The sequence below is a fragment of the Homo sapiens genome, chromosome 12, assembly GCF_000001405.40.
Source record: "Homo sapiens chromosome 12, GRCh38.p14 Primary Assembly".
Lineage (NCBI taxonomy): Eukaryota > Metazoa > Chordata > Mammalia > Primates > Hominidae > Homo > Homo sapiens.
The window spans coordinates 71,772,786-71,785,021 of record NC_000012.12 but is presented as its reverse complement, the minus strand read 5'-3'; the positions used below and the strand labels follow the sequence as shown (position 1 = coordinate 71,785,021).

The following is a 12,236-nucleotide window of genomic DNA, read 5'->3' as shown; positions in this document are numbered from 1 at the left end:
CTCCTGGGCTCAGTTGATCCTCCTGCCTCAGTCCCTGAGTAGCTGGAATTACAGGTATGCAACACCATGCCTGGCTGAGTTTTTTTTTTTTGCTAGAGATGGGGGTCTCACTATGTTGCCCAGGCTGGTCTCAAACTCCTGGGCTCAAGTGATCCTATGGCCTTGGCCTCATAAAGCACTGGGCTTATAGGTGTGAGCCACTGTCCCTGACCACAGCGATATTTGAAGAATAATGGAGTTTAAGATGAGGGAACTTCGAAGAACACAGCAGAAAGACTCACACCACCTGATTGCAAGAACTAGTATAAAGCTACACTAATCAAAACAGTGAGACAATGATAGGAGAAATAGATCAGTGGAACCAAAAAAACACAGTCCAGAAATAGACCCCGTAGATATGGTCTCTTGATTTTTGACATGGTTGCCAAGGTTATTCAATGAAGAAAGAATATTTTCAAAAAACAGTAGTATTAATAGAACTGGACATCTATTGTAAAAAAAAAAAATCAACCTTAACCCACACCTTAACATCTTATGCAAAAAACAACGAAAAATGAATTATACACTTAAATGTAAGACATGAAACAAAATTTCCAGAAGAAAACACAGGAGAAAAATCTTCATAGGAGAAAATTTTTGTGACTTTGGCTTACACAAAGAGTTCTCATGTAAGACATAAAACATGAATCATAAAAGAAAAATAGATAAACTGGACCTCACTGAAACTTAAAACTGCACTTTAAGAGACACAGGTAAGAAAAATGGGAATACACAACACAGACTGAGAGAAAGTATTTACAAAACACGTATTTGAGAAGATGAAGGAAGAAAAGAGGGTGTCCTTAAAATACAAAAGGGCTCTTAAATTAGAGACTGCTCTTGATTAATGGTTTACAATTTGAGGTATGTGGGACAATCCAACAAGAGGAAATAAGAAAACATTATAAATTCTATATCTACTTATTTTTAACTTTCCAAAATTTCTATTTTTTAGGTATGTTTTAAAATGTACATATTAGTACTTGTACATGTTATATAATTTCTAAATAAACATGTGGAGCATGCAAAAATTGTTTTGAAGATGTGATATTTATAACATTTGTAAGCCACTGACTTAGTGCATTGTTATTTAAAAGCATTATCAGAAGGAAGGAAGGGAGGGAGGGAGGGAGGTAAGGAAGGAGGATATCCTGATGACTAGCATCACCACCACTTGGGTGCTTGTAGAAATGAGGACCTCAATCTATCCCACACCTATTAAATCAAAATATGCATTTAATAAGATCCCCAAGTTGTTATGTACAGCATTGGCTCTTATATTTTAGTGTGCATTGGAATCATATGAAGCGTTTGTTAAAACACAGATTCTGGGCACCATCCCTAGAAATTCTGATTCGGCAGGCTTGGAGAGCCCAAGAATTTGCATTTCTGACATATTTTCAAGTGATATTGATGCTGCTGATCAGGGGACATCACTTACATAATCAATATTTTAGAAGAATTATGAATGACTTGAGGGTTTTATAAAACTAATTTATTCCAAAATGTGTGTGTGTGTGTACACACACACACACATATCAATATTCTTTTCTAGAGAGAAAAACCATGATTTCATCAAATTCTCAAAAGAGTCTAAAGTCCATAAACTCAGATATGCATTTTATTGGTAATATAAGAAATGATTTTCAGAATATATATAAATTTATTTTCCTTTTTCTTTAAAACTATAAACTTTTTAATATGGAAAATTTCAAACATAAAGTAGAAAATACAGCATAATGAAAATCCATCACCCAATTTCATGAATAACCCTAAGCATCCCTACCATTATTTTGAGTCAAATCTCAGACCCATAACTTTATTCCTAAATTATTTTAATGTGTCTTTAAAAGATAAGAACTCCTTTTATAAAGCATAACCACAATACCATAATCACACCTAAAAAATTAATAGTATCTTAATATCATCAAATATCTTGTTTCACAAACACTCTTTTTCACTAGTTTGACAAATCAGTGTCCAAATAAGGTCCATTCATTGCAAGAGGTTGTTACAGGTCTTAAATCTGTTTTAATATGTAAATTCCCCTTCCACTTTTAATACTTATGCATATATTATAATATATATTTAGCCCACACCATACTTATGATTTCATAACCATTAATTACTGCTTGAAACAGGGTTAAAGTAGGTATTTAAGCATTAAAAAAAATAGTTACAGCACTTCAGAAATACTACCAATAGTCAATAGTTTAAAAAGAACCAATTCTTTGAAAAGTAACACTGGTGTAAAATACATACTATTTTTTAAAAAATAAAAACCAAAAACCATTTCTAAACAAACTAAATCTGAATATACCTACTTTTACAAAGGTCAAGAAAGAGTTCCTCAATTCCTTTGTTCTGTTTGGCTGAAGTATGATAATGTTTTGCTCCCACAGATTCTGCATACCTTAAAAAAAAGTAACATCGGTGATTGATGTAAAATATTATTCATGATTTTGTCTTAACTGCTTTTTTATAGTAACAGTTTTAGTGACATATTAATTTACTCAAGTTTAGTGAAATTAAGTTTATATAGCTATTTAAATTCTCTATACATTAAATCAAATTTTAAATAACACAAATATAACAAGCCTCGAAATTTTTATAGATTAATTTGGGACTCAAATACTTCAAAAGTTTTTCTGGCTTACTGCCTATTTGATCATGATAGTTTTGTTTTATATCACTCGTATTTTTCACTGAAGTCAAAAAGGGAAGTAAGGGCTTTATTGCCACAAGCCCAGAAATTACCATGTAAACATGCTTCACTGAATCCAACACCTCAATCCATGCTAAGAGATTTGAGTAATACCTAAATGGTAAAGCAAAACGTATAAAGAGGAAGATTTCTACTAGGGAGTGATGGGGAATGGGAGGGTCACAGTACTTACGACTCTGCTTCTTGAATGGAAACATGTCTCTCCTTTTCCAAGTCTATTTTATTACCTATTTTGAAAAAAGTAAATATTTATCTTTATACTGATTTATTTTCATAACAAAATTAAGCCAATTCTAAATATAAAATTGCCATTTTAATTACCAGCAAAAATAATGCAAATCCCCACCAGACTTCTAATGTCTTGAAATTATAAAGTTAAGCCTTGTGATCTGAGGGTTGATCATGCCTCATCCTCCTTCAAATGACTCAATTCATACCTTTCCTGAATCTGCAGCCTCTGACAAAGAAAACAACTTTTCCAAAGAGACAGGCACTCTTTTTTGATTTTGGGGGATACCAGAGACCTAGAGATAAACCTATGATTCTTAGGCAAGTGTAAATGATCAAAAGTAAGAGCAAAATTTTCTACAGTTCCCATTAACTTAGAGCCGGTCAATAAGTATGGCTATCTTAGTGTTTACTAAAATATATTAATCTAGCCTCTTGGATCCTACAAGTATTTTGGTTTCCTGGATGATATAAACCAGTTAAAGTAAAAATTAAAGTGTACAGATTTTTAAGTACTCCACAATCATAAGGGGAAAAACTGTATTCTCTTTTTTTTTTTTTTTGACGGAGTCTCGCTCTGTCACCCAGGCTGGAGTGCAGTGGCGCCATCTCGGCTCACTGCAAGCTCCGCCTCCCGGGTTCACGCCATTCTCCTGCCTCAGCCTCCTGAGTAGCTGGGACTACAGGTGCCTGCCACCACGCCTGGCTAATTTTTTGTATTTTTAGTAGAGATGGGGTTTCACTGTGTTAGCCAGGATGGTCTCGAACTCCTGACCTCGTGATCCGCCTGCCTCGGCCTCCCAAAGTGCTAGGATTACAGGCTTGAGCCACCGCGCCCGGCCGGAAAAACTGTATTCTTTGTTTAAAAAACAATTTTAGTGAGTTATTAAAACTTAATATATGTATATCATGCAGATTTAAATTATAAGTTTAGCTCTCCTTAAACAACAGAACCAAGCTGGGATTATACTTTTAAAAAAAGCCATCAGAACAAAAATGAAGAAACTGCAAAATACTGATTCCTTGAACTTAAGATGAGTTGGCTGGACACCCAGAGTGCTAAAGGTAATAAAAACAGTAGATAACGATAAGGAAAAATACCCTATGGAAGGACACTTCAAACAAACATTTTTATTCTTCTACTATGGCTTTTAGGGAGAAAAGAGAAATCTTATAAATAAGGTTACTTTTTTTCTTGGAACCATATAGATTCTAGGAGACAATTTCAGATAAATTTCAGATAAGGCATTGAAATAAGCACCCAATAAAAGATAAAATGTTTAGCACTGAGGTGGACAAGTCCAAAGGTTCTATATACTGAGGACCTCGAATAATCTGAGAACCTAGTTGCTGGCAACTGCAAGAAACTATCTGCCACCATAGCCTAAGAATCAGAGAGAGGGAAGCAGACAACACTAAAGCTCAGTGGATACCAACAAATTCAGTAACAAACTCTTCCTTCTTTGAACAGCTATCTACCACAGCAAGAAGTTTCATATTAGTTCTAACTTCCTACATTATATTTGTCATTGGAAATTTTAATTAGCTAAATATGACAATGTCTGACAGTAACCAGAGGAAAAACCGTCGTGTTATTCTGTAAAGAATGCAAAAAGCACCACCTGGTGGCCAGTGGCTCCAACAAACAGGAAAAAGATTCTGCCTCACAAAGGCAAAATAAGATAGTCTCCTACTAAAAGTAGCAATATTAATTTTGCTTCAATTACCTAAAACCCTATGGAATTTTTTTCTAGGTATTTAATGGCTCATGTTCCAAATTCCATCAATATCATCAATACCTATAAAAAGAGTGAAGAGAGGAAAAGCAGGCAATCACCTTACTGCCTCAAATGAACATTTAGGAGAAATAATTCAGACACTGCTTTATTATTTGATAATATTTTAAATGACTAATTTTAATAAATCAGGCCATTAATAAATAGCTATCTTAATAACCTATTATTTTAAACTTAAAATATTTTAAATCTAAATAACTATTATTTCTTTGAATAATCAGTGTTCACAATGGATTGACAGCACAGAATACATTGCAGAAACCTGACTGGCTAGTGACTGACCTCTTTCCAAAGCTCAAAAACCCTTTTAGTTTCTATATTTTTTCAAAAGCAAGACAGCTAAGGAGTAAGGCTTTGAGACTCATATCTGCTTCAATACTACTGTGCAGCTACATACGGAACTTTCTGATAGGCTTAAAACACCTGAAAACAAGGACAATAACCAAAGCAAGCACCTACTTAAAAGTATAGTACTATAAAGAATTAAAAACATAAACAAATAGGCTGACACTATTGGAAAGGGAGGGAAAAAGCTACCCTCTAAGTTAAGCAGATCTTCCTTAAAAATACATATTTGAATTAAGAACATAGAAGGGGCATGTCCACTGCTAAGGGCAAATGGCCTAATGATATAGAACTAGAATCATATTATGCTTAGACTGAATGGTTGTGGGGCACAGTGGAAAGAAGCTTTCAGAAAGCTTTTAAATGTGATAAAACTTGTTTTTAAGTCCTTGCTTACTCCATAACTGTAATTTTTTTTTTGTTTTACCTTTTTTTGAGACAGGGTCTTGCTCTGTCACTCAGGTTGGAATGCAGTGGCGTGAACACGGCTCTCTGCAGCCTCCACCTCCCGGGCTCAAGCGATTCTCCTGCCTCAGCCCCGAGTGGGACTACAGGCACACACCACCGCATCTGGCTAATTTTTGTATTTTTTTGTAGAGATGGGGTTTTGCCATGTTGCTAGGCTGGTCTCAAACTCCTGGACTCAAGCAGTCTGCCCACCTTGGTCTCCCTAAATGCTCGGATTAAAGGCCAGAGTCACCACGCCTGGCCATAACTGTAATATTTTGGACAAATTAGTTAACCTCTGTTAGTCTCACTGTACGCATGTGTCGCTAACAAACCTTGCAGGGTTGATGTGAAAATAAGATATATGTAAAAGGCCTAGCATATACTATATGCTCAATAAGGAACAGTTATTAATATTAATGACATTCATCACAGTGAATGATCAAATGGAAAGTCAATATTGTTGTAAGACAATTAAAGTCCATGACAGGTAATACAAACTTACTCCTGACCTCAAATGATCCGCCTGCTTCAGCCTCCCAAAGTGCTGGGATTACAGGGGTGAGCCACCACGCCTTGCAGGTAACGCACTCTACCATCATCCTACTGGCTTCATCTAGCTAACTTAGTTTATCCAACACTTGGTCTAGGAAATGTTCCCTTATCTCCCCCTTGCACCCCAAATCTAGTTTGTTTGCTTTTGTGCTCTCATAGCACTCCATTCTGCATTTCCCTTCCATAGCATTTATTATAACATATAATAGTAGCTTGTTTTCCTCTCTTTTTCCACACAAGAGACTCTGGGAGGACAAGAACCGTATCTATTTTGTTTACTTATTCACTACACTATTCCCAAAGCCTGGCACATAGTAAGCAATGAAGTGTTTATTAAGGATATGGGCTTGAAGTGGCAGGCAGATCTGAGTTAAAATCCCAGGTCTACTTCTAACAAACTATGTGACTTTGGGAAGTTTCAAGGTCTCTAAGCACATTTTTTCATCTGTAAAATGAAATGGTCTTCCCCTCAGCATTGTCAGGAGGCTTAAATGAAGTAAAAAATGTGTACTTAAAACAGTGCCTGGCACTCAGTAAATGGTGACTACGATTAATAATAAATATTTGTTCAAGAAACATACAAATATTAAGGATAGACTAGATGCAGAATACTATCAACCACAGCCAAGGGTGCCTATCAATGGATTAATGACAACCTAGAGGAAAAAGTCTCTGCTATTGAAACATGTGGTTCTCTATTACTGGTTAGCACATGGATATCAGGGACTTAGATAAGGATCTAGGAGGTTAAGTATTCAATTTACACATGAAAATGCTAGTAGACTGTATATCAAACATAAAGATTCAAAAACATGACAAACTGAAATTTCTACTTAGCTTTAAATAGTTACATGAGAACAAGCTGGGAAACATCTGGCTGAATAGCAATACTTATAAAAAAGGACTTGAGATTTTAGATAACTATAACCTATGTAAAAGAGACTAGTTGACATGTCTGCTAAAAAATTTAAGCAATCTCAGGCAATCCTGATAGAAGGCCAGTGTGAGGAGAGAGACAGGGTCTATAAGAACATACTAGCTCAACAACATTTGGATTCTATGGTTTATTTCCAAGTGTGGGAGACATACTGACACAATAAAATAAACCTAGGAGAGAAAATGATCAGGATGATCAGAATGTCTGGAAGGTAGGCCACATAAAAAAACAGCTGATCTAGAGAATTTAAGACTTAAAGTGAGCCGTTTAAGTAGTCTTCAAATGCTTGAAAGGTTATCTTATGTAAAGAGAAAAGAATGAATTCTTGTCAAATGTTTACCTCTATGCCAAGTATTTTTCAAATCATTATATAATCTTCATCATAACCCTGAGAAGTAGTAGTATTATTTCAAAGTTACTAATAAAACAGAAGAGAGAATAAACACTGAACTACTACAACAGAGAATAAAAATCAAGAAGTGGGAAAAACAATGCAAATGTCCATCAATAGCAAAACAGATAAACTGTGGAGTATTCATAGATTAAAGTATTAGACAGCAATCAGAATAAAATGAACAACTATATACAACATAAAGGAATCGTAGGCACATAATGTAAAGTCAAAAAAGCCAGACCCAAAAAGAGTTAATATTATATGATTCCATTTATATAAAATTCAAAACAAAACTAATTCATGCAGTAAAAAGGATAGTGACGGGGGTGGGGAATGGTGAGGGGAAAACAACTGTGAGTGTTGGGATGAAAAAGCAACACAACTCAGGGTCCTTAGGTACTGCTTACACCGTGCAATTTTCATTTTGTGAAAATTATGTTATTGAAGATTTGTACACTTTTCTGTACATATAATGAAAAACTCACTTTAAAAATCAGTTAAGTGAAGGATACAGGGAGTATGATTTCAGCTAAATGTGAAGAAAAATTCGTTTATTGCACTGTGTCAGAAAAAATAAGTTGTTCTCCAACACCAGCGTGTATGTACACTAAATCAGAATTAACAGCACACAGTGCCTGGTACAAAGAAGCCACTCAAAAATACTTGTAGAAGGAAGAAAGATGGGGTGAAAAGAAGGAATTAATTCTTAGTCCCATCCATAGAGATTTTGATTTAGTGTATCTGTAACGAGGCCCAAAATACTTTTTTTTTAATCCTTTAAGTTATCCTAATAAGTTTGGGAAAAGTAGTAAATAAGCTCTCAGAATTCTTTTTTTTTTTTTTAAACGGGAGACTGGAGTTTTATTATTACTCAAATCAGTCCCTAAGTTCTCAGAATTCTCCCAACTCTGAATTCCAAGTAAAATTCCATGTCACACTTGTCAACAGAAGAAAGTGAGAGCTTTCTATACTTCACACTAATAATTAATAAACATTATATAATATTAAATGGGGTATTTGACCCTACCTGAGGCAATAGGCTACCAGATCCAATATTCCTAAAACGTCTTATAATATGAACATTAAAAATATACACTATATAAACATTTTTAAAGAAACCAATTCACTATCTGGCAACCACTCTCTCTGATGCTCCAGTGAAAGTATCTTCCCTGAGGTTCAATTTAATGTTATGCCTTCAACTTTTAGAGAGGGGCAACATAAAAGGTACTTCATTGAACATTAAAAAAAAACAAACACACTTTAAACTATTCATGAGCTTGTTTAACTTAGATGATTTTTTAAATGTTACTTTGTGACCTTGGTCAAGTAACAAGCTCTTGGGGTTTCCTTGACTTTATGTATGTGTTAGTAATTTCTATCTTCAGAAAGATGATCAGAATCCCAAAATATTAAATCTTCAGTCATTCATCTACTGTGGCCACTTCCACTCCTAGTAAGTCCATATACCACACAAAGTTACACAAAACTCAGTACTGATTAGCTGTAGCTTTGGTTCCAAATCTCCAAGTAGCCTACTACTTCAGTGTTCCAGTCTGAAATATTCCTGCCTAGCCTAACATCTAGCATCTAGACCAAAACGCAGGGGAAATCATCTCGCTTTTTTCCCCCAAGACTTGCCCCTGATCTGGTACTATAAAGCTACCAATGTAATGGTGGCAAGAGATAAGAAATGTAAACTCAAGTTAAAAAAAATTCTTGGCCGGGTGCAGTGGCTCACGCCTGTAATCCTAGCCCTTTGGGAGGCTGAGGCGGGTGGGTCATGAGGTCAGGAGTTTGAGAACAGCCTGGCCAATATGGTGAAACCCTGTCTCTACTAAAAATACAAAAATTAGCTGGGCGTGGTGGTGCGTGCCTGTAGTCCCAGCTGCTCGGGAGGCTGAGGGAGGAGAATCGCTTGAACCCAGGAGGCGGAGGTTGCAGTGAGCTGAGATCACACCACTGCATTCCAGCCTGGGTGACAGAGCGAGACTCCGTCTCAAGAAAAAAAAAATTCTTAAGGCTAAAAGCAGAATTTGCCCAAACTGACCATTCCATTCTTTCATTTCCCCAGATACTACCCTTGTCTTCCACTGAAATGATCCTACCCTGGCTTCTCCCATATTGCTTTTAATATTATCAGGTATGTAGAAAGAAAGCGAGAAAACAGCATGAGGCTATACATCTTAAGGATTAGTAACCTAAGAGTCAGAACGACTTCATTTCAAATCCCATCTCTGAAAGCTACCTGACACTGGGCAAGTTATTATCTCCAGGACTCACCTTCCTCTATAAAACCCTCATAGGATTATGAGGATTACATGAGATAATGTCTGTGAGTACACAGCACAGTGTTTAGTATACTTTTATTGTTCAATACTTGTGATATCACAGAAATAATAATCTAAAGAAAAAGGGAACCAAAGAGAAATTCCAGAAGTCCAAAAGTGAGTTGCAGAGTTCCTTTATACCCATTAGGAATATTCCTCCACCCTGGGATCATGATCTACTTGTATCCTTATGGCCAAATCTGACCATTACTCAAAAATGTATAGTTAAATGTACAGAATAAGAACACAAGCCGAAGTCATTTCCTTAATTTTATTTTAAAGTAGTTACTAAACTTTTTTTCTAAGCAAAATCATACAGTGAAAAAGAAAGGTCAAATTGAAGCAAGGCTGGGAAACTTGAAGCCCCAACTGTTTAGTTTCCAATTTGCTCCCCAAGGCATTCCTTAGAGTTTGAATCTCCTGGAAAATCACTTCTAAATCCTAAATTATTCTTTTTTTTTTTTTTTTTAAGACACAGTCTCGCTCTGTTGCCCAAGCTGGAGTGCAATGGCGTGATCTTGGCTCACTGCAACCTCCACCTCCTGGGTTCAAGTGATTCTCCTGCCTCTGCCTCCCAAGTAGCTGGGATTATAGGTGCCCGCCACCACGCCCAGCTATTTTTGTATTTTTATTAGAGCGGGGTTTCACTATGTTGGCCAGGCTGGTTTTGAACTCCTGACCTCAGATGATCTACCTGCCTCAGCATCCCAAAGTGCTGGGATCACAGGCGTGAGCCACTGTGCCCAGCCTATTTTTTTTTGAGATGGAATCTCACTGTATCACCCAGGCTGGAGTGCAATGGTGCGACCTTGGCTCACTGCACCCTCTGCCTCCCGGATTCAAGTGATTCTCCCACTTCAGCCTCCCAAGTAGCTGGGACTATAGGCATATGCCACCACTGTCTGGCTTTTTTTTTTTTTTTTTTTTTTTTTTTGTATTTTTAGAGAGACAGGGTTTCGCCATGTTGACCAGGCTGGTCTTGAACTCCTGACCTCAAGTGATCCACCCACTTTGGCCTCCCAAGGCGCTGGAATTACAGGCATGAGCCACTGCACCAGGCTAAATCCTAAATTATTCTAAAATATTTATATTAATATGCCATTCTTCCTTTCTCATATAACTTTAAAACAAAAATTACTTGTCTTCAATAAAACATTAAGGAAACAGAGGACTTTTTTTTTAGAAAAAAGTAATGATGCTTACCAACTATACATAAACAGATTTCATTTCCCAACATTTTCCGTAATTCTTTGACCCAGTTTTTTACCTGTATATACAAAAGAGCACATATTAAAACAAATCCTGTTGGAATTACTACTATCACAACACCCAAAAAACTCAACACTGTCAAAATACCTCAGAATTTTAAGAGTCTATATTATTTAGTTATTACTAGAAATGATTCACTGAAGAATCATTTATTGCCAGGTTATATTGCAAACTATATACATATAAACATACAATGGAAAAATACACAGAAGCAACTCTAATTATAAATTTGCATCAGTCTTCCACAGAGCCAAGCAAAGCTATTCACTAGAGCAAAAGCATATCAACTCCAGCTTCTGATAACAGATGCTTTAACAATATAGATAACAGTGTCACTTTGGACTTAGGAACATATGGGTTTAAAACAGTCTTTTATACCCTAATTGATTCCTAAATAGAGGGCAAAGGAGCTTCAGTGTCACACACTTAAAGACAAAGAAAAAAAAATGTATATAAGCACCAAAAAAAATTAGAGTGCTAAAATAATTCAATCATTTAGTGTACGACAGGGTTTTGCAACCTTGGCAATACTGACATTTTAGTACAGATAATTCTTTGTTGTGAGGCACTGCTCTGTGCAATGTATGTTTAGTAACATCCCTGACTTCCTACCCACTAGATGCCAAGAGCATCCGCCAGTTGTGACAACCAAAGATGTCTCCAGGCATTGCCATCCCCGGTAGAGAACCAATGATATACAGTAACTCCAGTTATGAACTGATTCTCCAGTATGAGTGAAGCATAGTAGTAGACACAGTTGGCAGTAAACTGGAATTAAGTAGATGAATCTTTTGAACTCATGATTTTAAATGTTGATTATAATAACAGAATAAAAGGCAAACTTGGACACCTGCCTTCATTCTTTTCAATGAAATTTAATCTGGATGTAATCAAATCACACTGAACTTATAAAACCTCCTGAAAAAATACACATATATCTGTAAATTCCAAAAATTACATTAGCTATGTGGTAACCACTTACTGTGCATCTGGTCTTATGGTGTACAAATGTAACACTTCCCCATTCCTATTCTCTACAGAATGAAGAGGAACTATCTTTGGCAACCCAAAATCCTTATAAAAGCAAAGGTAGTTATCATCACCACATTATCTTTATAACAGCACTGAATGACAGTTTTCTCAGTATAGCCCCACCTTTTTGTTTCATTCA

General features: G+C 36.0%; 1 protein-coding gene across 2 annotated transcripts in view; it reads right to left on the bottom strand.

The window, feature by feature from the left end:
- RAB21 (RAB21, member RAS oncogene family) overlaps positions 1-12,236 on the bottom strand; it is a 45,424-nt gene that overhangs the window by 15,265 nt on the left and 17,923 nt on the right. The window contains exons 4-6 of one of the 2 annotated variants that reach the window (NM_014999.4): positions 11,000-11,063; positions 2,937-2,991; positions 2,364-2,452 (exon numbers count right to left, since the gene is read on the bottom strand). In NM_014999.4, the coding sequence (NP_055814.1) occupies positions 2,364-2,452; positions 2,937-2,991; positions 11,000-11,063 (208 nt within the window). Of the gene's footprint in view, positions 1-2,363; positions 2,453-2,936; positions 2,992-10,999; positions 11,064-12,236 lie in introns of those variants that run through there. The other variant, XM_047428541.1, reaches the window with a different exon arrangement.